The sequence below is a fragment of the Homo sapiens genome, chromosome 12 (genome assembly GCF_000001405.40).
Source record: "Homo sapiens chromosome 12, GRCh38.p14 Primary Assembly".
Lineage (NCBI taxonomy): Eukaryota > Metazoa > Chordata > Mammalia > Primates > Hominidae > Homo > Homo sapiens.
This window is the reverse complement of record NC_000012.12, coordinates 110,704,746-110,731,742: the sequence shown is the minus strand read 5'-3', so window position 1 is coordinate 110,731,742 and position 26,997 is coordinate 110,704,746. Positions and strand designations below refer to the sequence as shown.

Here is a 26,997-nt window from a genome sequence, read left to right as displayed (position 1 = left end):
TTGTTACATGATTGATTAACTGAGTCAAGGATATGTTGATGACCTTGTATTAGCTAGCAGAATGATTATCCTGTTTGCGAATAGCTTGGAACTACTTAAAAGTAAGTTAAATAGTAGCTTTAGAATAAATACCTCTAATGGACTTAGTTTACTTAGATGTACTTCAGATTTTTAAAAAAAATATTTTGCTGAAGGAATAAACATTGCAAAAGAAAAAAATGAAACTAAGAATGGAGAGCTGAGGAAAGGTCTGAACTACATGGATGTATAGGAATATGTTTAAGTTTAAAGCAACACTGGTTATAGCTAAAAATAGAACTTCCTTGATACTGATTTTGTGGTTCTGTTTTCTGCATAATAGAAGCAAATAATCTGTGTTTTAACTCAATGTAAAACCAAACTTTATTCGTTTGAGTAATATATTCTTATAGCATATTTGCATTGATAAAACTTTGTGTTCATGTTTTTAAAAGTAAAATGTTCTTTGGCATTATCTAGCAGGGAGAAATTGAAAGCTAAATGCATTGATGGGTGGGGGGTGGGGGTGGTGTGTATGTGTGTATGTGCTTTTGTTCAGATGGGGCCAAGACTCACTAGAAGTGCAGCAGTTCTGCTGACACAGTACCCAGAGACTGAGCTGTCAGAGATCTGATATTGATCAGTCAGCCTGAAAGGGATACCATGTTACTTGGCAAGAATGCATGCTTGGACATAATAACCCTTTCCACAGAATAAATTCTTAATAGTTGAATTTTATGTGAGGTTCTGGACATACACATATACTTAAAATTTTTGTTAAGCTCAGTTGAACTAAATATGATATAAGATTGGAAATTACTTAGTGTTGGCTGCCCAGTTAAACTCTCATTACTAGAGGTCAATGCCATTGTACAATGAATATTTAAAGAATGTCTTTCCAAAGCTTTGTTAGTGGATTGAGCTTTAAGTATGGGAACACTGTGTAACAAAATTCTTGCTTCCAGGTGACATCCATGGACAATACTATGATTTGCTGCGACTTTTTGAGTACGGTGGTTTCCCACCAGAAAGCAACTACCTGTTTCTTGGGGACTATGTGGACAGGGGAAAGCAGTCATTGGAGACGATCTGCCTCTTACTGGCCTACAAAATAAAATATCCTGAGAATTTTTTTCTTCTCAGAGGGAACCATGAATGTGCCAGCATCAACAGAATTTATGGATTTTATGATGAATGTAAGTACTTTTCTATATCTAAGGAAGAGTTATTGAAATTAAGATATTTATCATAAACAATTATCACATACTTCTGTTAGGAATTGTGAGAGTTTAGATGCAGTGGTATCATCTCTCATGTTTTCTATTTCATCAACTTGTTTTTAGCTTAGCTTTTTTAGGGGGGTGGGGGAACGGAGTCTCACTCTGTTGCCCAGGCTGGAGTGCAGTAGCACCATCTTACCTCATTGCAACCTCTGCCTCCCAGGCTCAAGCAATCCTCCTGCCTCAGCCTCCCAGGTAGCTAGGACTGCAGACATGCATCACCACGCTTGGCTAATTTGTGTATTTTTTTGAAGAGATGGGGTTTCACCTTGTTGCCCAAGCTGATCTGAAACTCCTGGCTCAAGGAATCTGCCCGCCTAGGCCACTCAAAGTACTGGGATTACTGGCGTGAGCCATGATGCCCAGCCAGTTTTTTCTCTCTTGGGTAGAAAAATAACACTGCCGCTGTAATAAAATAAGGTCTTGGATTCTTTTATGATGTGATGATCAGATTAGGAAGTAATGATCATGGTAATGGTTGCTTTAAGATTTAAATTGTTGTATTCACAGATAACTTAATTCTTAGTAGAAATCTGAGAACCATTCCAAATAGTTTTTTTAAGCAACTTTATTATGTAATTTCATTCCATAAAATTATTCTGTTAAAAGTGTACAATTCAGCGATTTGTAGTAAATTTATAGAGTTATGCGACCATCACCATAGTCCCCAGGCAACCACTAATCTACTTTTTGTCTTTTCTAGAGAATATTGCATGCAAATGGAATCTTGCAATACGTAAATAATTAGTTTTTGAAATTATTATAGTTTTTCTCCTTCTGGCATATCCACACCCAGGAAGAATGGCAATAACTTTCCTAAAACTAAAATGTGCTGAACAAAGATTATTTTTACAGTATTTTACACATTTTGTGACCCATTTTGGATTGTTTAATTAAAGGTATACTTCGATTTGACTATTGACAAAACACAGTTCTTAAAGCTTTGAAAATAGGCTGGGCACAGTGGCTCACGCCTGTAATCCCAGCACTTTGGGAGGCCACAGCGGGTGGATCACAAGGTCAAGAGATCAAGACCGTCCTGGCCAACATGAGGAAACCTCATCTCTACTAAAAATACAAAAATTAGCCAGGCGTGGTGGCAGATGCCTGTAGTCCCAGCTACTCAGGAGGCTCAGGCAGGAGAATCACTTGAACCCAGGAGTCGGAGGTTGCAGTGAGCCAAAATCACACCACAGTAGTCCAGCCTGGGTGGCAGAGTGAGACTCCGTCTCAAAAAAAAAAAAAAAAAAAAGCTTTGAAAATATCAGTTCAGTAAAGGGTTTCAAGTCAGAAAAGGTTTTGAATCTTTACCTTCACCTTCCTTTTGTGCTCATCATTGCTGCCAGGACGGGTTTCAGGTTTGGAGTGAAGAGGTGGTTAAGGAACTTCAGGTACTTGGCATTTGCTAATATGATTATAGGGATATCAGCAAAGGGTTGTCCCTGTGGCCCTCCCCTAGACCACATCGTAACCTAGAGTCTCCAGATGCAGTGTTTTTCCATCTCAATTCACATAGATATGTTGAGCTAGCACATTTGTTAGAAGTGCATCCTAGAAAGATTATATTCACAAACTGAGCCCTTCTACTACCACCCTTTCCCACAACTGGATGTTTGCTTGGTCTGTGACCTTGAGATCCAGCTGATAAGATGGGGTGGCAGGAATCATCAGGGACAAAAATTCTATGGGTTCTGGACTGACTGATAGCATTGAACTTGTACATGAAAGGTATTCAATATTAACAGTGATTCTGTGTCAGAGAAGTACCAGTAAGCCAGTTACTACTCCTTAGGTAGTGAAATGCAAGGCAGGTGTGATGGGTTTTTTTTGTTTGTTTTTGAGACAGAGCCTTAGGCTGGAGTGCAGAGGTGGGATCATAGCTTACTACCACCTGTAATTTCTGGGTTTAAGCAATCCTTTCACCTCAGCCTCCCTAAGTGCTGGGATTACAGTCATGAGCCACCACACCCAGCCAACACTGTGTTTTGGATACTTATTCCAAGTGTTACTCTTGAGTTTTTTGTTTTTTGTTTTTTTTTTTTTTTTTGAGACGGAGTCTCGCTCTGTCGCCCAGGCTGGAGTGCAGGGCGCGATCTCGCCTCACTGCAAGCTCCGCCTCCTGGGTTCACGCCATTCTCCTGCCTCAGCCTCCCGAGTAGCTGGGACTACAGGCGCCCGCCACTACGCCCGGCTAATTTTTTGTATTTTTAGTAGAGGCGGGGTTTCACTGTGTTAGCCAGGATGGTCTCGATCTCCTGACCTCATGATCCGCCCGCCTCTGCTTCCCAAAGTGCTGGGATTACAGGCGTGAGCCACCGTGCCTGGCCTGCTCTTGAGTTAAAGGATTCCTTTTACATAGCTGTTAGCCCAGCAAATACTTTTCATGTTTGCACTGATGAATTCAAATCCAGTTGACCTCATTTTTGTGACGTGTATCCTAATGTAATGATACTGGCTGCATCAGTTTCGGTTTCTACTTAATGCAGAGGCCTTTAAAAAATGACTTAGAAGATCAGTGTTGGTTGGTATCAGTTTCGACTCCTGTTTGGTCATCAACACAATTTGTAGATCTTATGCTCAAGCTTCCTCTCTCTCATCAGGCAGATATAATTTGCCATCCAGTCTACTTGTGGGCATGAAAGTGCCCTTGACATAGGTGGCTTTTGGTTGAAGGCTTGCAGACATTTAATATATATATAAAATACTTAACTAATTTTATTAAAATGAAAAGTTGTATTCAAATGTTGATTTTCATGGGACAATTTAAAAACCACTGCCTGTTTTCCAGGTACATAAGTACTTTATACTACCATTTCTTTTTTTTTTTTTTTTAACTTTGTAAATGTGATGGAAAGGCTGAGGTATATGTTGTTGGGTAAAACATGAGTGTTTGTTGATCTGTTTCTGCTGCCGTAGCTGTCTGATGTACAGTAATGCGAAACCGCATTACAGGTTATGGCTCAGAATCTTAGGATTTGGAAGCTAGGCGATTACCCTGGCTAAACCTTTCAGGAGCCAGATGTTCCTAGTGGTCTGAGGTAGCCTTAGGGAGGAAATGAAGAGAGAATAGAAAGAGGCAGGCCCACGCTTAAAGTGCTGAGAGGGAAAAGGAGGAAACAAACTGATTTTTGATGGAGAAGCCAGCAGGAATCAGCAGGAGAAGCTGGAGTATGTGGCATAACTAAAGAATCAAAGCCGGGGCGTGGTAGCTCACGCCTGTAATCCCAGCACTTTGGGAGGCCAAGGTGGGTGGATCACTTGAGGTCAGGAGTTCAACCTGATCACAAGAGGTCAGGAGGTCTGACCAACATGGGGAAAACCCATCTCTATTAAAAATACAAAAATTAGCTGTGGTGGTGCACACCTGTAGTCGCGGACACTCAGGAGATTGAGGCAGGAAAATCACTGGAACCTGGGAGACCATGGTTGCAGTGAGCCAAGATTGCGTCGCTTCATTCCCCCTAGGTGATGCAGTGAGACCCCACCTCAAAAAAAGTATCCAGAAGTGAAGCTGACCTTGGGGAAAGAGGAAGTCACTGTCACTGGGGAGCTAAGACAGCAGCTCTGTTTTTATAATACAGGTTAAGTATTCCTTACCGGGAATGCTTGGCACTAGAAGTGTTGCAGGTTTTTTGTTTTTGTTTTTAATTTTGGAATATTTGTGTTATAATTACTGGTTAAACATCCCTAATCCAAAAATCTGAAATCCAGAATGCTCCAGTGAGCATTTCCTTTGAGCATCATGTGAGTGCTCAAAAAGTTCCAAATTTTGGAGCATCTTGGATTAAGGATACTCATCCTGTGGTGGTAGTAGTAGTAGTATTGCTGTTGGAAATGGGAGTTGGTGGTTTTTGGAGATTGCCCTTCAGCCTTTCGTAAGAAGGAGTTTGCTTTTTTTTGAGACGGAGTTTCACTCTTGTTGCCCATGCTGGAGTGCAATGGTGCGATCTTGGCTTACTGCAACCTCTGCCTCCCAGGTTCAAGCAATTTTCCTTCCTCAGCCTGGCGGGAGAAGTTTGTTAAACTTTCCGAACCCCCTAGTGAAGGACCTCTAAAGAAATATGCAACAGGGTGAACCATAGTCAGTGTTAGACCCAGTCATTGAGAAACCAGAAATTATTAGGAGAAAAGATAACACTCCTCTGCAGAGAGAAGGCAAACATTTGTTGAATTTACATTTCATTTCAAGCCCTGTGGTAAACTCCCTAAGCTGCTTGATTTGCATTACAGGGTGGGAGGTGTGGTTCAGGTCAGTTGCTTGGGCTGGCTCTAACTCTCAAAGGAGAGGTATAGGTTTAAACCTTTAGATGTCCCTGTATTCCCCAGGAAAAGAGACTAAGGACAAACTCTTGGTTTGTTTTGTTTGTTTTGTTTTGTTTTTTGAGACGGAGTTTCGCTCTTGTTGCCCAAGCCGGAGTGCAATGGCACAATCAAGGCTCACCGCAACCTCCGCCTCCCAGGTTCAAGTGACTCTTCTGCCTTAGCCTCCCAAGTAGCTGGGATTACAGGCATGCGCCACCACGCCCAGCTAATTTTTATATTTTTAGTAGAGACGGGATTTCTTCATGTTGGTCAGGCTGGTCTCAAACTCCCAACCTCAGATGGTCTGCCCGCCTCGGCCTCCCAAAGTGCTGGGATTACAGGTGTGAGCCACCGCGCCTGGCCAAACTCCTGGTTTTTAAAGATTGTGCTTAGTATAGTAAGTACAGGAAACAAAGGCATCTGGACAATTGGACAATCCTCAACCAATCCAGAGAAATTTGTTCTTGCAAGGTATGTGACTAGGTTTTAAACTCAGAACATCAGTTTCCTGTAGAAACAGTGCATAGAGGCATATTTCTGTCAGAACTGCACTCTGACTCCAGAATGTGTGGATGCCTGTGCTGTTGAGGGAACATGACCATCCTGTGACATCAGGCCTGTGGGAGCATGTGGAGTCTGTGCAGTGTTGGAAACAAATGCCCTGTAGTGCCTGTGAGAGGCAGCCACTGCCGTGTGATCATTGTGCCTCCTGCTAGAGTACTGAGGGCTGGGGATCCTCTGGTGTCAGTAGGTTATTGAGGGGCATATATGGGGGATGGGTGCTAACTCTCAGGTTTCCTCAGAAGGAAGGTCATAACGCCACATGTGTAAGTTCGTAATTGAATTCAGAAGTAGGGGACTAGCTGCGGTGAGATTGGACAGAGCAGACAATTTCAAACAGAATTGATGCTCCCAGATAATTCCTGGGATTTGATGGCAGTCCTTAATCATTATCAAATCTGGAATTCTGGTTTCATGCTTCTGTGGAATTTAAAAAGATTTCATGTGAAAATGTAAGTCATTGCTTTTAGATCAGATATGTGTCTCTCCTAAACCCCTTCCCTCTAGGAGAGTCTTTCTTTAAAGAGATGGGGTCTCACTATGTTGCCCAAGATGGTCTTGAACTCCTGGGCTCAAGCCATCCTCCTACCTCAGCCTCCCGAAGTGCTGGGATTACAGGTCTGACCCACCACGCCCAGCTCTTATTTTAAAAGAGCCTTAAAATAAGATGGTTTTATTAAGATTCTTAATAAAAACATAGTTTCATTTGCTTAAAAGGCACCCAGAATCTTGCTTTGGGGGAAGTTAATCCTGAGAGAATGAGCCTACGGAACAGTAATACTCTCTTTTTAATGTAATACTCTCTTTTTAATCACAGGTAAAAGAAGATACAACATTAAACTATGGAAAACTTTCACAGACTGTTTTAACTGTTTACCGATAGCAGCCATCGTGGATGAGAAGATATTCTGCTGTCATGGAGGTAGGTGGGCTGATTTTTGTTCCAAATAGGTTTTGATCCCTTCCAAAGGGTGAACACTTTAACATTTGTGAGTTATCATTGGGATGACTTTCTCTGACAGAACACTCTCCTTTGTTGATGTGTTGCATTGCACTTTCACTCTGATACAGCCAGGATCATTTGGATAAAAATCTTAAGGAATTGATTTATTACAGGGAATTCTAGACTCTGTAAGCTAGGTTTGAAAATAGAGCAGAAAATTTTTATTTTTATTTTATTTTTTGTAAGGATGAGTTCTCACCACGTTGCCCAGTCTGGTCACAAATTCCTGGGCTCAAGCAGTCCTCCTGCCTCGGACTTCCAAAGTGCTGGGTTACAGGTGTAAGCCACTGTGCCCGGCTTAGAAAAGTTTTTGGTTTTTTTTGTTTTTGTTTTTGTTTTTTGAGACAGAGTCTCGCTCTCTCACCCAGGCTGGAGCGCAGTGGCACCATCTCGGCTCACTGCAAGCTCTGCCTCCCAGGTTCACGCCATTCTCCTGCCTCAGCCTCCTGAGTAGCTGGGACTGCAGCCACCCGCCACCACGCTTGGCTAATTTTTTGTATTTTTAGTAGAGACGGGGCTTCACCGTGTTAGCCAGGATGGTCTCAATCTCCTGACCTCGTGATCTGCCCGCCTCGGCCTCCCAAAGTGCTGGGATTACAGACTTGAGCCACCACGCCCGGCAGAAGAGTGTTTTTAACTATAAAATGAACAATGTGTAATTTGTTGTGCCAGAGATCCTCTAGAACACTCAAGATGTGAGTAGATTTTCCCTTGATTGTTTTTTATCCTCTCAGAACTTTCTCTGACTTGGATTTTAAAAGTTATTTTGGCCAGGCATAGTGGCTCGCATCTGTAATTCCAGCACTTTGGAGAGGCCAAGCCAGGAGGATTGCTTGATGCCATGAATATGAGAACAGCCTATAACATATCGAGACCCCTGTCATTAGAAAAAGTTGTAAAAGTTAGCCAGGTGTAATGGTGCACACCTGTAGCCGTAGCTATTTGGGAGGCTGAGGCGGGAGGATCGCTTGAACCCAGGGGTTTAAGGCTGCAGTGAGCTATGATCGCACCACTGCACTCCAGCCTAGGCAACAGAGCAAGACCCTATCTCTGAAAATATATACATATATATGTTATAAGCTGTTTTGCTTTGCTCAGTGGTTGTGCTTTCTATAATGTAATTAAAATAGTAATTGCAAAGAGAATTTCTTTTCCTGTATGGTCTGAAATTAATCAGCCATCAAAAAGCCTGCATAATGTCTTTTATCTCTGTGCTTCTGTACTTAGGTTTTGGTAGAGTTGGATACATGGTTTTTAACTCTTACAATATGCATCCCATATTGTAACTCGATACAATAAGCTCTTGTAGATTTTAGCCATCAAAAAGCCTGCATAATGTCTTTTATCTCTGTGCTTCTGTACTTAGGTTTTGGTAGAGTTGGATACATGGTTTTTAACTCTTACAATATGCATCCCATATTGTAACTCGATACAATAAGCTCTTGTAGATTTTAATGGTCTGTGAACAGTGCAGGTTTCCTAGAGAACTACCTCACACTGAGCATCCTTATCTTCTCAGCTCAGTCATTATAAGCCATCAATCATAACATCGCTCATTATTGTCATCAACTGGGGGAAGCCCATAGAAGAGTTTTTTAAATCACTGGATTTTATTTTACAGTGTTCTGTATAATATAATTGTTTCCATGTACTGTTTAAACCTACTGCACCCCATGCATTACTGCATGTAATTCTAGTGTGTATCCAGTTGTCCTTTTTCTGTGTTTTTTTCTTTTAACCAAAAGTAAATAAAATATAATCATAGATTTCAGTTTTTATGTCAGGATTATTGAATTTCTCTGTAGACAAATGGAACTTTTGAAGGGGTAGTATCCTTTTAAAAGTTCTGCTTTCTTCATTTTTTTTTTTTCCTCATTGAATAGGTTTATCACCAGATCTTCAATCTATGGAGCAGATTCGGCGAATTATGCGACCAACTGATGTACCAGATCAAGGTCTTCTTTGTGATCTTTTGTGGTCTGACCCCGATAAAGATGTCTTAGGCTGGGGTGAAAATGACAGAGGAGTGTCCTTCACATTTGGTGCAGAAGTGGTTGCAAAATTTCTCCATAAGCATGATTTGGATCTTATATGTAGAGCCCATCAGGTATTGATTTTGAATTTTACATGTACACTTAAGAGCATGTGTGTGAGCACAGATTCTCCTTGTTGATTTTGGTGGGTAGGTATTGCTTATTTATACAAAGTGTTTCTGGAACACAAGATATCAGGCTCAATGGGAAACTGAAACATGGTTTTACTCACCTAATATTTGCACCTATTTATATTGAAAAAATTTTCTCTTCAAGGTGGTTGAAGATGGATATGAATTTTTTGCAAAGAGGCAGTTGGTCACTCTGTTTTCTGCGCCCAATTATTGCGGAGAGTTTGACAATGCAGGTGCCATGATGAGTGTGGATGAAACACTAATGTGTTCTTTTCAGGTAGAGCATGCTTTCAACATGATTTCCTTTTAATATGTTTACACTTTGCTGATTGAAAAATATAATTGCTACTTTTTGCCTAGTGTTCACTTATGCTGAGTAGGCTAAGTTTTTATTTTCCCTTAACCAGTGTGTATTATAGTTGAATAATGTGTGGATCCCTTGTAAAAGAAAAAATTAATTATGGCACCTTTTCCCAGTGTTGAATTATAAATTTTTGCATTGCATATTGGCTCCTTAATGCTTATGGCTCTTTTACTGTAAATCTAAAACCTTAATGACAATGTAATGTTCAGCTAAAATTAAATCACCACTTGAATGTGAAAAGTACTGAGTGCCTTGTGCTATGTGTTTACTTAGTTCTGCCCTCTAGTCTAACTTCCACAAAACTTCTGTTAATGTACCATGACATCATTTGGCCTTCAGTTGGCACAAAAGCATTATTTAGAATCTGCCTCAGCCTTTTTCTCATTTGCTTATTATGATACTTGTACAACTTCAAGCCAGCCTAGTCATAAACATAAATACAGCCACCAAATCATGTGGCACTCATCAGTTAAATGAATTAAAATAGTTTTTTACCAATTATCAGAGAGAACTTGCAGCTTTCAAAATTCCAAAGATTGTGCAAGGATCCCCTACAGGTTGGAGAAACACTTTTGTAAAGAACTTTTTCCCCTGTATCAGAAGGAGTAGCTAAAGATACTACCAGGTGTAGACTTCAGAAGATTGTCATTATACTCAGAGGCAAAATAATTTGTCCAGATAATAGATTTTATCTGTTCGTCATAGCGTTAATTACCAAATGTTTACATTCAACATAGCTTGTGTTAATATGCTAGGGGGGCTTTTACAGTTGTTGGGGCAGTTGTGAACACCATCTGAACAGAAGATCTGAATGAAATTTAAGGACTCTTAAGATTTGGGGTTGAGTATATTTCCTAAATTAACTGTCTTTTGAATCTCCAGATTTTAAAGCCTGCAGAGAAAAAGAAGCCAAATGCCACGAGACCTGTAACGCCTCCAAGGGGTATGATCACAAAGCAAGCAAAGAAATAGATGTCGTTTTGACACTGCCTAGTCGGGACTTGTAACATAGAGTATATAACCTTCATTTTTAAGACTGTAATGTGTACTGGTCAGCTTGCTCAGATAGATCTGTGTTTGTGGGGGCCCTTCCTTCCATTTTTGATTTAGTGAATGGCATTTGCTGGTTATAACAGCAAATGAAAGACTCTTCACTCCAAAAAGAAAAGTGTTTTGTTTTTTAATTCTCTGTTCCTTTTGCAAACAATTTTAATGATGGTGTTAAAGCTGTACACCCCAGGACAGTTTATCCTGTCTGAGGAGTAAGTGTACAATTGATCTTTTTTAATTCAGTACAACCCATAATCATGTAAATGCTCATTTTCTTTAGGACATAAAGAGAGCCCTAGGGTGCTCTGAATCTGTACATGTTCTTGTCATAAAATGCATACTGTTGATACAAACCACTGTGAACATTTTTTATTTGAGAATTTTGTTTCAAAGGGATTGCTTTTTCCTCTCATTGTCTTGTTATGTACAAACTAGTTTTTATAGCTATCAACATTAGGAGTAACTTTCAACCTTGCCAGCATCACTGGTATGATGTATATTTAATTAAAGCACACTTTTCCCCGACCGTATACTTAAAATGACAAAGCCATTCTTTTAAATATTTGTGACTCTTTCCTAAAGCCAAAGTTTCTGTTGAATTATGTTTTGACACACCCCTAAGTACAAGGTGGTATGGTTGTATACACATGCTGCCTTCTTGGGGATTCAAAAACAGGTTTTTGATTTTGAATAGCAATTAGTGATATAGTGCTGTTTAAGCTACTAACGATAAAAGGTAATAACATTTTATACAATTTCCATATAGTCTATTCATTAAGTAATCTTTTTACAGTTGCATCAGGCCTGAACCCGTCCATTCAGAAAGCTTCAAATTATAGAAACAATACTGTTCTATACGAGTGACCGATTATGCTTTCTTTGGCCTACATTCTTTATTCTGCGGTGAAGTTGAGGCTTATAAGTTAAAACAAAGGAACTAACTTACTGTCCACCAGTTTATACAGAACTCACAGTACCTATGACTTTTTTAAACTAAGATCTGTTAAAAAAGAAATCTGTTTCAACAGATGACCGTGTACAATACCGTGTGGTGAAAATGAATTCAGACTTATTAAATGATGAACTTGTTAAATCTTCTCAGTGTCTATTTATCAGCACAATACACACAGGAGAACTGTTGATGGCATATTGAATAGATTTTCCTGAATAAATTGCTCTGGAAACCACACGGTTGCATTTTGGTTTTGCTTCTTTCAAATAGTCTGTTTTCCAAAGATGGATTATAATACAGATACTAATACTCTTTGAGTTGTAACCTGGAGACATCTATTTGTGTAATAGAGTGATGAGGTGGAACGATCCTCCTCTACCATTTGGGGAGATGGGGATTAATCTGTGTCCATAGTTTTCTTACTGTCTGGGTTCACTTGAACTTAGTGGCGAATTTGAAAGCAGCTCACTTTGTTTTCTGAGTCAGCCACCTATATTTTCATGCACAGTTCTTTGATCTCTTCCCCCTTCCCTGGTTTATATGGAACACAGTATCATGTCATATTTTGTCACAAGTATGTATCTTAATTTCTCAAAGGTACGCTAAAAATGAGTGAAGAGCATGTCATTTGAAAAGCTTTTTTTCCTGTTACAAAGTGGTCTCCCTGAGGGCGTTGGCAGAGGACCTAGCGAGGAACTCTTTGAAGGACACAGAAGAGCACAGGGCCATGGACTCCCCTCTGCTAACAAGCCCCGGTCCTGAGGCATCTGGACCCTGCCATGCTCCCATCAAAGAGGGAAGGGGGACCTCATTACCTGCCTGCTCCACATTGACAATATCCAAACTTGTGCTGTTTCACTTTTACGTAATATTCTCCCAGACTTCTTTGACTATAGGAAGAAAACAGTGAATGATAATTGTGTCAAAGGCAAATTCTGCACATCTTTATGTCCTGAATGTTAATGAATTGATACTAGGATTTCAAAATGCTATAAAGTAAAATTGGGCTGCTCTACTAGGATTATATCATTATTGGAGTGTGGTATCAGGCTCAAGTTTTTCTTAAGGAACATTTATCAAGTACTAAGGATTATATCATTATTGGAGTGTGGTATCTGGCTCAAATTTTTCTTAAGGAACATTGGTCAAGTAGAAGACAAGATTAATCTTTGGTTTTAGGACCTGAGATCATTAGGAGAGACTCAGTTTGAAATCTGTTTGACAGCAGAACTTGAGATGTGTGTGATAACCCAAGTCTTGGCCCCTCCTACCTGATTTGAGTGAGTGACCTGAATGCTGAGCCACTGTGTTCCTAGCTATGAAACGTCCATAGCAGAAGCCGTCTCACATTGTGAATCTTGAGTGAAGTTGTGTGGTGTCTTTAGAATGCTCAACTCGGTGGTATTTGCTAAATGTTTGCTTTTGGTTATCTTATCGATCCCAGTTCTTTCGTGTCTTTGCACATCTCGGTTGGCTGAGTTTGAAGTGTCACTTGCCTTTGCTTTGCTTTGCACCTGATACCAAGCCATGGATAGCTAAGTATGTCTGAGCATTTACTGCATAAGGGAACACCATCATGGATGTTTTCAGCATATGCAAAAGAAGTAACTAGGAAAGAGGAAGTTGTAATTATTAGTGTGATACTATTCTATTAAGTGTTTTGGTTTGGTTTTGTTTTTGTCAAGTATTCTGGGTCACAAGATGACAGCACCATTACAAAACCATACAGAAAGGCAGGTGCTAGGCATCCTTAGTCGCTCAATCATCTATGTAATACCCTCCCATAGAAATTGCTGATTTGGTACACAAACTAGGCCTGCCCATGTCTAGTTGCAGTGGACAGCACAGATGCTCACATATAACCCTTGTTCTTGAAGTACCTTGATTTAAGGCCAGAGTTCTCGAGTAACATACACATAAATGGGATATGGAACACAGGGACTAGGAAAAAATTACTGAATGCTGAGCCATGAAGAAGGCACATGATTTAAACTGATGGAAAGGAATATCAATCAAATTTCTCAATGTGGGTCCATGATGAGCGTTTGAAAGGGAATTCAGTTTGCTGGGAAGTGAAGATACAAGCTACCAAGTTAAGGCATCATGATACCAAAAAACACAAAGGAACCATTGCAGGGAAGTGCTGCATGAAAAATCTTAGGTTTATTTTGGCAGTTTGCAGACACCATGTGAATTGAGACACGGAGACAAGGGCCATGTAATCCAAGTATCACCTGAAATTAGTAGAAGGGACAAAGCTGAGGATCTGCATCAGAACAAAGAAGGAATGTCTTCCTCATGTTTGGGTCTATAGAAGACATTAAAGAAAACTTCCAGAAAGTGGGTTTGAGGCCGGGCATGGTGGCTCACACCTGTAATCCCAGCACTTTGGGAGGCTGAGGCAGGCGGATTACAAGGTCAGGAGATCGAGACCATCCTGGCTAACACGGTGAAACCCTGTCTCTACTAAAAAAAATAGAAAAAATTAGCCGGGCATGGTGATGGGCGCATGTAGTCCCAGTTACTCAGGAGCCTGAGGCAGGAGAATGGCGTGAACCTGGGAGGTGGAGCTTGCAGTGAGCCGAGATCACGCCACTGCACTCCAGCCTGGGCGACAGAGCGAGACTCTTAAACAAACAAAGTGGGTTTGAAGTGCTATGTCTCCATTTTCCTATCTTGAGGAAAAGACCCAAAACTCAACCTCATGTACCAGCTGGCTTGAATCTGCAGGGGTGGTTTTGATGAGTAAGAACTTTCAGTCCTGCAAATCAGATGTATGCATCAGCCCAGACTGGAAGAACATGGCACCCTCTGCCCCAGGCTTTGGTTTCCTTCTCACCCACAGAAGAGGAATAACTAGAATACTTAACGATGGGATTGTGAGGATTAGCCCACCAAAAATCTACAACTTGCCTTAGTCATAAGCATTCAGGAAACAGCCCTGGTATAAGACCAATGAATAGCCCTAAGATTTAGACCAATGGCAACACACAGGAACTTTGATTAGGAAAACTTGGGCCAGGCACAGGCAGAAGTCACTTTTCATTCATCCTTGCCAACGTGTGAGCTTCAGAAGAGTGGAAATGATGGACTATCAACACCTTCAGCCTACGACTCAAATAGAATTGAGTACTTGCATTAGTGCATCCCTGAATTAGTGGGTGGTTCATAGTTGTGTGATCACAGAGATGACTGCCATCCCATCTGATCAGCTGTAGCTCCAACGGACTTGTTGTCATCCAGATGTATTACAAGTATTCCAATAATTTCAAACACAGGTAAGTATTTCAGTTGTGAGAATTATGTCAGTTATTTGAAAGATAAATATGTTAGAGGATTAAAGCACTTCAGTTAATCATGTAAACAGTTTTGTAATCAAAAAGTTAAAACTAGGCTGGGTGCAGTGGCTCATGCCTGTAATTCCAGCGTGATTGGGAGGCCGAGGTGAGTGGATCACTTGAGGTCACGAGTATGAGACCAGCCTGGCCAACATGGTGAAATCCTGTCTCCATTGAAAATACAAAAATCAGCCAGGTGTGGTGGCACATGCCTGTAATCCCAGCTACTCGGGAGGCTGAGGCAGGAGAATCGCTTGAACCTGGGAAGCAGAGGTTGCAGTGAGCCAAGACTCTGCCACTGCACTCCAGACTGGGCAACAGAGCGAGACTCTATCTCAAAAAAAAAAAAAAGTTAAAACTAAGAAAGTTTGCAGTAATAGGGAAATAGAATTTTACCTACATAAGTTCAAGAACTTTATACTCTTGAACTAACAAAAGTTTGTAAGAATTTTAAAATATAAGGCATGCAAAATATCAGGAATGAATCAGTACGGCAAGTCTTTTAAGTGCATCTCAGAAAGCATCCTGAGGCACTGCCCAAAGCTTGAGATTGAGGGGTTGTGTAAAGGCACTGGCATCAACCAGATTTTTTAAGTCTAGGAATTGAGAAGGAAGACATAAGTCTTTACCTTGCTATTGGGATGGAACAACCAATTTGGTGGTAGGACCAGCCAAAAAGCAACTTGCCTTTCCACCAACCTCAAAGTGAGCATCTATTTAGTATTACAAACATGCAGATACCGCAGGAGCAATAAAGCGACAGGTGGTGCTAAGAAGGTAGCATACTGGCCGGGCACGGTGGCTCACGCCTGTAATCCCAGCACTTTGGGAGGCCAAGGCAGGCAGATCACCTGAGGTCAGGAGTTCAAGACCAGACTGGGCAACATGGAGAAATCCCATCTCTAATAAAAATACAAAATTAGCCTGGCATGGTGGTGACACATGCCTGTAATCCCAGCTACTCAGGAGGCTGAGGCAGGAGAATCGCTTGAACCCAGGAGGCAGAGGTTGCAGTGAGCTGAGATCGCACCATTGCACTACAGCCTGGGCAACGAGCAAAACTCCGTCTCAAAAAAGAAAAAAAGTAGCATACCAGCCCAGCATCAAACTTGGGAGAATTCTGATGATTGTAATAATTAAATGGTATCAATTAAATTTTTTTCCAGTATGGGCAACATGGTGACACCCCGTCTCTATTAAAAATATAATAATACAAAAAATTAGCCAGGCATGGTGGTGCACATTTGTGGTCCCAGCTACTTGGGAGGCTAAGGTGGGAGGATCGCTTGAGCCTGGGAGGCGGAGGTTGCAATGACCTGAGATCGCGCCACTGCACTCCAGCCTGGGCGACAGAGTGAGACCCTGTCTCAAAAAATAATTTTTGATAGAATTTCAAATTCATTCTTGTGTTCCAAACAATCAGTTTCCTAATAGCGATATTTAGCTATGACCACCAAATACTGATTTTAATACTCATTCAGCCAAAATGCATATTTGGTGCAACTCTTGAAACAATTCTAAAATGTCACTTAAAAGTGCGTATTCCTTTTTTTTTTCTAGCCACCCAATTAGCACAGTATCAAACACCATGTCTCCCAGAGAGGACCATCCCACACACCAGTTGTTCAGGGCTGGTGAACAAGAGAACAGTAAACTGGTCGTTATATTCTTGGACAGACTGGCTTGACCTTTCCCTGGCAAGTTAGGTAGGTGTGGCAGAGGGAGCGGGTGGGATAAAGGGTGTTTTTGCTGAGGTTGGCAGAAGATTTTTACCATCTGATGGGGCTTTGCTCATTCACCAGCTCCACAAGCCCCTCAAGGAGTCCTGTTCCATACCTGCTGTTAGTTTACCATAATGAAATCACTTCCCAATTTTTTTTTTTTTTTTTTTTTTTTTTTTTTGAGACAGAGTCTTGCTCTGTCGCCCAGGCTGGAGTGCAGTAGTACCATCTCGGCTCATTGCAAGCTCCACCTCCCGGGCTCAAGTGATTCTCCTGCCTCAGCCTCCCAAGTAGCTGGGATTACAGGTGCGTGCCACACACCCAGCTAATTTTTATATTTTTAGCAGAGACGGGGTTTTACTACGTTGGCCAGGCTGGTCTCAAACTCCTGACCTCAAGTGATTCGCCTGCCTCAGCCTCCCAAAGTGCTGGGATTACAGGCCTTCCCAAGTTTTGATTACTGACCTACAAACACCACATATCTTCTCTAGTGCTTGCCCTTCAGATTGAGAGGTGGAATGGACAGATCGTAGACTCACATGGTCCTCCGCTCAGGAGGCTGTCCAGCATAAGTGAAGGACCCAGATTCAGCGTGGATCACAGGGTTAGCTGGATTTTACTCACTAGCTTGGCTTAGATTGGTTTCAGATCTGCCCCATGTTCCTCTCACTGTTCTAGGGCCATTGGGTATTACTTAGGAGGGTGGACTGAGGAGAGGAGAGCAAGCAGGCAATCTTAAGATTTGCTGCAGTGCAAATTACTCATTGGGTGCACATTTTGGTTGCCATGAATGCTGTGTTTTTATACTTTTATTTTTAGAAGCCATAATCTTGCTGAGGTCAATATAATCTTGCTAGAATGAAAGTTTTTTTGTTTTCGTTTGTTTTTGAGTTGTAGTCTTGCTCTGGCACCCAGGCTGGAGTGCAGTGGCACAATCTTGGCTCACTGCAACCTCCACCTCCCAAGTTCAAACGATTCTCCCACCTCAGCCTCCAGAGTAGCTGGAACTACAGGTGCCCGCCACCACGCCGAGCTAATTTTTGTACTTTTAGTAGAGACAGGATTTCACCATGTTGGCCAGGCTGGTCTCAAACCCCTGGACCTCAGGTGATGCGCCTGCATTGGCCTCCCAAAGTGTGAGCCACTGCGCCTGGCACAAGAATGAAAGTTTTGAGAAAGTGATCTGCATTCTCCACTCCAGAAAACCAGAATTCCTCTTAAGACAATGCTGGTCGAACTTTTTTGACAGGTGGAACCCATCAAACAAAATAATATTGGAGGCCTCATGTAAAATGAATAAAATCAGAACAGCTCTGTTAAAAGCAGGGGCTGGGGGCTGCTTGTCCCCGAACAGCTTCCACCTCCAAAGATTGAAACCACGCTCTAGGAAAAATATTGGCTGCTACATACAGGCCTGTGTTTGTAGACCAGCATTAGTAAGATGTTAGTACAACTTATTAGGTAGAGCCTTCCCTGATTTTGTGATGCCTTGTCTAAGATCCAAATAGCTAAGAAGTTCAATCCAAGTATTCTCCAAGTAGAAAGTCAACACATGGCCAGGCACGGTGGCTCACGCCTGTAATCCCAACACTTTGTGAGGCCGAGGTGGGCAGATTGCCTGAGCTCGAGAGTTCAAAACCAGCCTGAGCAACACGGTGAAACTCATCTCTACTAAAATGCAAAATAATTAGCCGGGCGTGGCAGCGTGTGCCTGCAGTCCAAGCTACTCAGGAGGCTGAGGCAGGAGAATTGCTTGAACCCAGGAGGTGGTGGTTGCAGTGAGCCAAGATCATGCCACTGCTTTCCAGCCTGGACAACAGAGTGACACTACATCTCCAAAAAAAAAAGAAAGTCAACATGTAACTACCATTTTCCAAGTTATTTGCTGGTTTTCATTTCTTTTTTCTTTTTTTGAGATGGAGTTTCGTTCTTGTTGCCCAGGCTGGAATGCAATGGTGCAATCTCGGCTCACCGCAACCTCCACCTCCCAAGTTCAAGCAATTCTCCTGCTTCAGCCTCCCAAGTAGCTGGGATTATAGGCATATGCCACCACGCCTGGCTAATTTTGTATTTTTGTAGTAGAGATGGGGTTTCTCCATGTTGGCCAGGCTGGTCTCGAACTCCCTACCTCAGGTGTTCCACCCGCCTTGCCCTCACAAAGTGCTGGGATTACAGGTGTGAGCCACCACGCCCAGCCTGGTTTTCATTTCTTAGCACTGTGGTAACAGACACAGGAGATCAGAAAAGCATTTTGCAGATTTGAACAAAGCATCCTTTAGGAGACCAGGGTTTTTCATCAAGGGGATTTCAGTGCCCCCCCTTTTTTTTTTTTTTTTTTTTTTTTTTTTTTTGAGACAGTTTCTCTGTCGCCCAGGCTGGAGTGCACTAGTGCTAACTTGGCTCAGTGCAACCTCCGCTTCCCGGATTCAAGTGATTCTCCTGCCTCAGCCTCCCGAGTACCTGGAATTACAGGCACCCACCACCACACGTGGCTAATTTTTGTATTTTTAGTTGAGACGGGTTTTCACCACATTTGCCAGGCTGGTCTCGAACTCCTGACCTCAAGCCATCCACCCACCTTGGCCTCCCGAAGTGCTGAGATGACATGCATGAACCACCACGCCCGGCCTGTGTGTCTGTTTTTCAATGTGTGTGTATCTATAAGGTATATTGTCATTTTATATGTTATTTTATATAATATATATGGTCCCGTGTCACTTAACGATGGGAATACATTGTGAGAAGTATGTCATTAGGCAATTTCATCATTGTGCAAATCACCATAGTGTCCCCACACAAACCTAGATGACATAAGCTATACGGTAGAGCCTATTGCTCCCAGGCTACAAACGTGCACTGGACCCTGTAGGCAATTATAACACAATGGTAAGTATTTCTGTATCTAAACATATATAAATATATAGAAAAGCTACAGTAAAAATATGGTATTATAGTCTTATGGGACCACCATCACATATGCGGTCCATCATTGACTGAAAACTCGTTAGGTGGCATGTGACTGTATTTTTAATGGTTTGTTGTTGTTTTGTTGTTGTTGTTTGAGACAGAGTTTCATTCTTGTTGCCCAGGCTGGAGTGCAATGGTGCGATCTCGGCTCACTGCAACCTCCGTCCCGCAAGTTCAAGCAATTCTCCTGCCTCGGCCTCCCAAGTAGCTGGGACCACATGCATGCACCACCACGCCCAGCTAACTTTGTATTTTTAGTACAGATGGGGTTTTTTCCATGTTGGTCAGGCTGGTCTCGAACTCCCAACCTCAGGTGATCCTCCTGCCTCGGCCTCCCAAAGTGTTGGGATTACAGGCATGAGCCACTGCCCCTGGCTAGTGTATTTTTTAAATGAAATGTCTTAATACAAAAGAATACATAAAACACCCACATACCCATCGCCTGGGTTAAGAAGTAGAATATTACCAATAACTTAAGAGCCCGTGTGCGTACCTCCCCAGTTACATACTTACCCATCTCCCTCGAGAGTTAACCATGATCTTGAATTTGAAAGTAATCACTTCCTTACTTTTCTTCATTGTGTTTGTATCCCTAAGCAATATACTGTTAAATTTTGCCAATTTATTTATTTTTATAGAAACAGGGTCATGCTATATTGCTTAGGCTGGTCTGGAACTCCTGGCCTCAAGAGATCTTCCTGCCTCGGGCTCCCAAGTAGCTGGGATTATAGGTGCAAACCACAGTACCAGGCAATTTTTGAGCTTCATAGAAAGAGAAATATATGTATTTCTGTAAACAGTTTCCTTCAGCATTTAAAAATTTTTATTTATTTATTTATTTTATTTTGAGACAGAGTCTCACTCTGTCGCCCAGGCTGGAATGCAGTGGCACCATCACTCACTGCAACCTCCGCCTCCTGAGTTCAAGCAATTCTCCTGCCTCAGCCTCCTGAGCAGCTGGGATTACAGGCACATGCCACCATGCCTGGCTAATTTTTGTATTTTTAGTAGAGACGGGGTTTCACCATGTTGTCCAGGCTGGTCTCGAACTCCTGGCTTCAAGTGATCCACCTGCCTCAGCCTCCTTTTAAAGTGCTGGGATTACAGACGTCAGCCATCCTGCCCGGCCTAAACATTTTTATTTATATTTTAGAGAGACAGGGTCTTGCCTTGTTGCCGAGGCTGGTCTTGAATTTCTGAGCTCAAGTGATCCGCCCACCTTAGCCTCCCAAAGTGCTAGGATTACAGGCATGAGCCACCTCACCCAGCAAGCATTTTTTTTTTTTTTTTTTTTTTTTTTTTGAGACAGAGTCTCATTCTGTCACCCAGGCTGGAGTGCAGTGGTGCAATCTCCGCTCACTGCAAGCTCTGCCCCCTGGGTTCATGCCATTCTCCTGCCTCAGCCTCCTGAGTAGCTGGGACTACAGGCACCCACCACCACACCCAGCTAATTTTTTGTATTTTTAGTAGAGATGGGGTTTCACCATGTTAGCCAGGATGGTCTCAATCTTCTGACCTTGTGATCCACCCGCCTTGGCCTCCCAAAGTGCTGGGATTACAGGTGTGAGCCACCGCACCCAGCCTAATTTTTGTTTTTCAAAACAAAAATATTTTTGTTTTGAAAATTTTTGAAATGTTTAATAGCGACAGGGTTTCACCATGTTGGCCAGGCTGGGCTCAAACTCCTGACCTCAGGTGATCCGCCCACCTTGGCCTCCCAAAGTGCTGGGATTACAGGCCTGAGCCACTGCACCTGGCCTTAATTTGCATTATTAATATTAGAGGTTATCTTTGCCCTTTTTCCTATTCTCTTTGGGAAATATAATGAGGTGTATTAGACCTCATTCTGTCTTTCATTTCACTTTAACATCTTGTTTTTTTCCATCTCTTTCCCTATGGTTTGCATTCTTGATAATGTCCTCAGCTCTATCTTCTAGTTTACTAATTTTTTCTTCAGTTGTGCTTAATCTAATCCATGCACTGAATTTTTAATTTTAATTACTACATTTTTATCTCAAGTTCTATTGGGTTTTTTGTTTTCCTTTATTATTATTATTATTATTATTATTATTATTATTATTATTATTTTGGAGTTTTTTGTTTTTCACAATCCACTTGGTCATTCTTCATTATCTATTATTTCTTGCTAATCTTTTTAAAACTTTTAAAATTTGACCAGGCGCAGTAGCTCATGCCTGTAATCCCAGCACTTTGGGAGGCTGAGTCGGGTGGATCACTTGAGGTCAGGAGTTCAAGACCAGCCTAGCCAACATAGTGAAACCCCATCTCTACTAAAAATACAAAAATTAGCCAGGCACCTGTAATCCCAGCTACTGGGGAGGCTGAGGCAGGAGAATCACTTGAACGAGGGAGGCAAAGGTTGCAGTGAGCCGAGATCACACCACTGCATTCCAGCCTGGGCAACAGAGTGAGACTCCGTCTCAAAAAAAAAAAATTATTTGACCCCATGGCCTTCTGGTCTGACGTTTTTTGGCCGGGCACCATGGCTCATGCCTGTAATCTCAACACTTTGGGAGCTCGAGGTGGGTGGATTATGAGATCAGGAGTTCAAGACAAACCTGGCCAATATAGTGAAACTCCATCTCTACTAAAAATACAAAAAATTAGTCAGGCATGGTGGCACATGCCTGTAATCCCAGCTACTCGGGAGGCTGAGGCAGAGAACTGCTTGAACCCGGGAGGTGGAGGTTGTAGTCAGCCGGGATCGCGATACTGCACTCCAGCCTGGGCAACAGAGGGAGACTCTGTCTCAAAAAAAAAAAAGTTTTATTTCTCTAAATATAATAAACATGGTTATTTTATGTTCTATCTGATTATTCCAATATCTGAAGTGTTTGTGGGTTTGTATCTATCATTTGTGTGTTTTTGTGGGGGGTTTTGCCATTCTTCTGAATGTTTCTATCATCTGTTGTTTCTATTGTTCCTCATAGTTGTTTCTCTGTGTGTGTTGTGATTTTTTGACAGAGTTGCCCATTTTCTTCACATCTTTATCCATGGGATTCTCTGCGGCCTGAATTGAAGTTGAGCTCCTCCAGAGAAGATCAGAGTTTGCCTCTGCTGGTAGACTGGGGCAGTATCAACCTAGACTTTAAATCCTCACTTGCTCACTTGACATTTTTCTTTTCTTTTCTTTTTTTTTTTTTTTTTTGAGATGGACTCTCGCTCTGTCACCCAAGCTGGAGTGCAGTGGTGCGATCTCAGCTCACTGACTGCAACCTCCACCCCAGATTCAAGCAATTTTCCTGTCTCAGCCTCCCAAGTAGCAGGATTTACAGGTGTCTGCCACCATGCCCGGCTAATTTTTGTACTTTTAGTAAAGGCGGGGTTTCACCATGTTGGCCAAGCTGTTCTCGAGCTCCTGACCTCAAGTAATCTGCCTACCTTGGCCTCCCAAAGTGCTGGGATTACAGGTGTAAGCCACCATGCCCAGACCCACTTGACATTTTTCAGATCATACAAGTCTCATGAAATTAGGCCACAAACCTGCAGATCCTGGTTGTGAATTCTCAGGAGAAAATTGTTTTGCCAAGAGTAATGGAGATCCCATTGGTAATAACTGTAATATTTTCATTGTGCATGTGTTTGTTTTGATGAATAAACATTGGAGTCATATATATCTTTCAGCCATGAGAGAACTTTCTGAGTTGCTAATAGTTTCTAAACAATATAGATAGATGGGTGAGATTCCATTTAAGCTTTCTATTCCTTTAAGAGCCAATTGTTGTAAAGAAGTAGGAAACTAACTCAAAACTATACTAAGGTTTTCTGCAAACTATGCAGCTCAACCTAGCTGTTACAGAAGCAGGGTACCCCTTTCTGTAGTGAGTTGGTGGATTCATGTAGCTAGTTACACTGGCACCCCAGTCTACAGAAGCCCACAGGGGCAGCTTCTGGAAGCTGTTGCTTCTCTTGAGAGGCCATACTGGGCAGTGGTTAAAGCCTGGGGTTTGCAGCCAGTGGCCCAGGTGGGAATCCTGACTCTTGCATTCTGGTTGTGTGTGACCTTGGGCAAATCCCTTAATCTCCCTGTGCCTCAGTGCTTCCCTTGTAAAACAGGGATAGCAGCATCTGACTTCAAGCTATGCTACAAGGTTATAGTAACCAAAACAGCATGGTACTGGTACCAAAACAGATATATAGACCAATGGAACAGAACAGAGGCCTCAGAAATAACACCACACATTTACAACCATCTGACCTTTGACAAACCTGACAAAAACAAGAAATGGGAAAAGGATTCCCTATTTAATAAATGGTGCTGGGAAAACTGGCTAGCCATATGCAGAAAGCTGAAACTGGATCCCTTCCTTACACCTTATACAAAAATTACCTCAAGATGGATTAAATATTTCAGTGTAAGATCTAAAACCATACAAACCCTAGAAGAAAACCTAGACAATACCATTCAGGACATAGGCATGGGCAAAGACTTCATGACTAAAACACCAAAAACAATGGCAACAAAAAAAGCCAAAATAGACAAATGGGATCTAATTAAACTAAAGAGCTTCTGCACAGCAAAATAAAATATCAGCGTGAACAGGCAACCTACAGAATGGGAGAAAATTTTTGCAATCTACCCATCTGACAAAGGGCTAATATCCAGAATCTACAAAGAACTTAAATTTACAAGAAAAAACCCCATCAAAAAGTGAGCAAAGGATATGAACAGACACTTCTCAAAAGAAGACATTTGTGCAGCCAACAGACGCATGAAAAATGCTCATCATCACTGGTCATCAGAGAAATGCAAATCAAAACCACAATGAGATACCATCTCACACCAGTTAGAATTGCGATCATTAAAAAGTGAGGAAACAACAGGTGCTGGAGAGGATGTGGAGAAATAGGAACACTTTTACACTGTTGGTGGGACTGTAAATTAGTTCATCCATTGTGGAAGACAGTGTGGCGATTCCTCAAGGATCTAGAACTAGAAATACCATTTGACCCAGTGATCCCATTACTGGGTATATACCCAAAGGATTATAAATCATTCTACTATAAAGACACATGCACACATATGTTTACTGCAGCACTACTCCCAATAGCAAAGACTTGGAACCAACCCAAATGTTCATCAATGATAGACTGGATTAAGAAAATGTGGCACATATACACCATGGAATGCTATGCAGCCATAAAAAGGATGAGTTCATGTCCTTTGAAGGGACATGGATGAATCTGGAAACCATCATTCTCAACAAACTAACACAGGAACAGAAAACCAAACATTGCATGTTCTCACTCGTAAGTGGGAGTTGAACAATGAGAACACATGGACACAGGGTGGGGAACATCACACACAGGGGCCTGTCGGGGGGTGGGGGGTTGGGGGAGGGATAGCATTAGGAGAAATACCTAATGTAAATGTCGAGTTGATGGGTGCAGCAAGCCAACATGGCACATGTATACCTATGTAACAAACCTGCACATTGTGCACATGTACCCTAGAACTTAAAGTATAATAATAATAAAAAAATAGGGATAGCAGCATCTATATCAATGGTTACTCTGAGACTAAATAAATTAGTACATGGAAAGAACCCAGACACATAATAGGCAGCAAATATTAGGTATTATTTTTATTGTTTGACTATTTCCTGCCACCAAATCCAGGTAGCACTGATGAAAGGTGTAAAACACAGTAACAACAAAACAAGAACTCCATCCCCCTACCATCATGTAGCTGATAGTTTGCTAAAAGCACAGTTAGGAAATTCTGTTCCACAGAGATCCACAAGCTTTCCAGAAGTAACACAGAGCCAACTAGGAAACTGAAGGAAAAGTAATTTCTTTTTTTCCTTTTTTTTTTTTTTTTTTTTTTTTTGAGGCAGAGTCTCGCTGTCACCCAGGCTGGAGTGCAGTGGCACGATCTCGGCTCACTGCAAGCTCCGCCTCCCAGGTTCATGCCATTCTCCTGCCTCAGCCTCCCGAGTAGCTGGGACTACAGGCGCCCTCCATCACGCCTGGCTAATTTTTTGTGTTTTTAGTAGAGACATGGTTTCACCGTGTTAGCCAGGATGGTCTTGATCTCCTGACCTCATGATCCACCTGCCTCGGCCTCCCAAAGTGCTGGGATTACAGGCGTGAGCCACCGCGCCCAGCCAGGAAAGTAATTTCATGCAGTCAACAAATCAATTACTGGTTCTTTTTGAAACAGGGTCTCACTCTGTCTCCCAGGCTGGATTGCCCTGGTGCACTCACAGCTCACGGTAGCCTTGATGTCAAGCGATCCTCCTACCCTCCCACCTCAGCCTCCCAGATTCTTTTCTTTTCTTTTAGCATATTTTAACATTTTAAATTAATTTTTTAATAAATGTTATAGCATGTAAATCATGGTTTAAAGATCCAAATACTCCTATGCATGGAGTGGGGGCAAAGGGTATATGAGAAATCTCTGTACCTTCCTTTCAATTTTGCCATGAACATAAAAGCACTGTAAACAATTTTTTTTTTTTTTTTGAGACAGTGTCTTGCTCTGTTGCGCAGGCTTGGAGTGCAGTGGTGCAATCACGACTCACTGCAGCCTCAACCTCCCAGGCTCAAGCAATCCCCCCACCTCAGCCTCCCGAACCTGAGGTGAGGGTCTCTCCATGTTGCCCAGGCTGGAAAACAGTCTTTTAAAACAAAAATGCAGACACTTTAAAATGTGAAATTAAATTGTCCCTTTGCCCCTGATCCCTCCCCAGAGGAAACTGTCCCTGTTTGTTTTTTGTGCCAGCGTGTATAAGTACCTATCTTCCTAACAAATGACATCGAGTCATTGTTTTCATTACTTACTGTATCTTGTAGATTTCCCATATTAATACATTGTAGAGCTCTATTTCATTCTATTCTTTCAACTCAGCCCCTGATTCTAATTTTTCAAAAAGCTTATTGAAATAAGGTTCTTCTTCACTTCATTGAAAATAGAGAAGCGTGAAGCCAAAAGTACAATAGAAAAAACGTGTGTGGGGAAAAAAAACCGTATGATCAGACATGGGGACCTGTTTTATGCCATCACAGCTGACAGTGTTTACCTGGAAACGTTTGTTCTTTGTAACAAGCTTCTTTCCCAGCCTGCCTCCTGGAGGTGAACATGTGCAGGTGGAGAAGTGCCCACTGCATCGGGGCCAAAAGAGGCAAGTGAGCTCAGTGGACCCTAGGCCAGCTCTAGGATTGTGCCAGAAGGAATGGCAGGGCCCCATCCCTGAAACCCAGCCCAGGGGGATACCTGGGGGCCTACTAGTCACCAGGTGTGGCTGTTCATT

General features: G+C 42.0%; 2 protein-coding genes across 6 annotated transcripts in view; both read left to right on the top strand.

Annotated features, from left to right (window-relative positions):
* Positions 1-23,367, top strand: part of PPP1CC (protein phosphatase 1 catalytic subunit gamma) — a 34,516-nt gene extending 11,149 nt beyond the window's left edge. The window contains exons 3-10 of one of the 5 annotated variants that reach the window (XR_007063094.1): positions 984-1,214; positions 6,979-7,083; positions 9,048-9,271; positions 9,474-9,608; positions 10,578-10,638; positions 16,596-16,741; positions 17,248-17,360; positions 22,709-23,367. Coding sequence is in view for 4 of the 5 variants with exons in the window: in XM_011538504.4 (XP_011536806.1) it covers positions 984-1,214; positions 6,979-7,083; positions 9,048-9,271; positions 9,474-9,608; positions 10,578-10,638; positions 16,596-16,741 (902 nt within the window). In the remaining variant the exon portion in view is untranslated. Of the gene's footprint in view, positions 1-983; positions 1,215-6,978; positions 7,084-9,047; positions 9,272-9,473; positions 9,609-10,577; positions 12,064-16,595; positions 16,742-17,247; positions 17,361-22,708 lie in introns of those variants that run through there. The other 4 variants (XM_011538504.4, XM_011538505.4, NM_001244974.2 and 1 more) reach the window with 4 other exon arrangements.
* Positions 26,791-26,997, top strand: part of HVCN1 (hydrogen voltage gated channel 1) — a 56,267-nt gene continuing 56,060 nt past the window's right edge. Inside the window, exon 1 of the mRNA XM_011538846.3 lies at positions 26,791-26,868. The gene's annotated coding sequence lies outside the window, so the exon portion shown is untranslated. The remainder of the gene's footprint in view (positions 26,869-26,997) is intronic.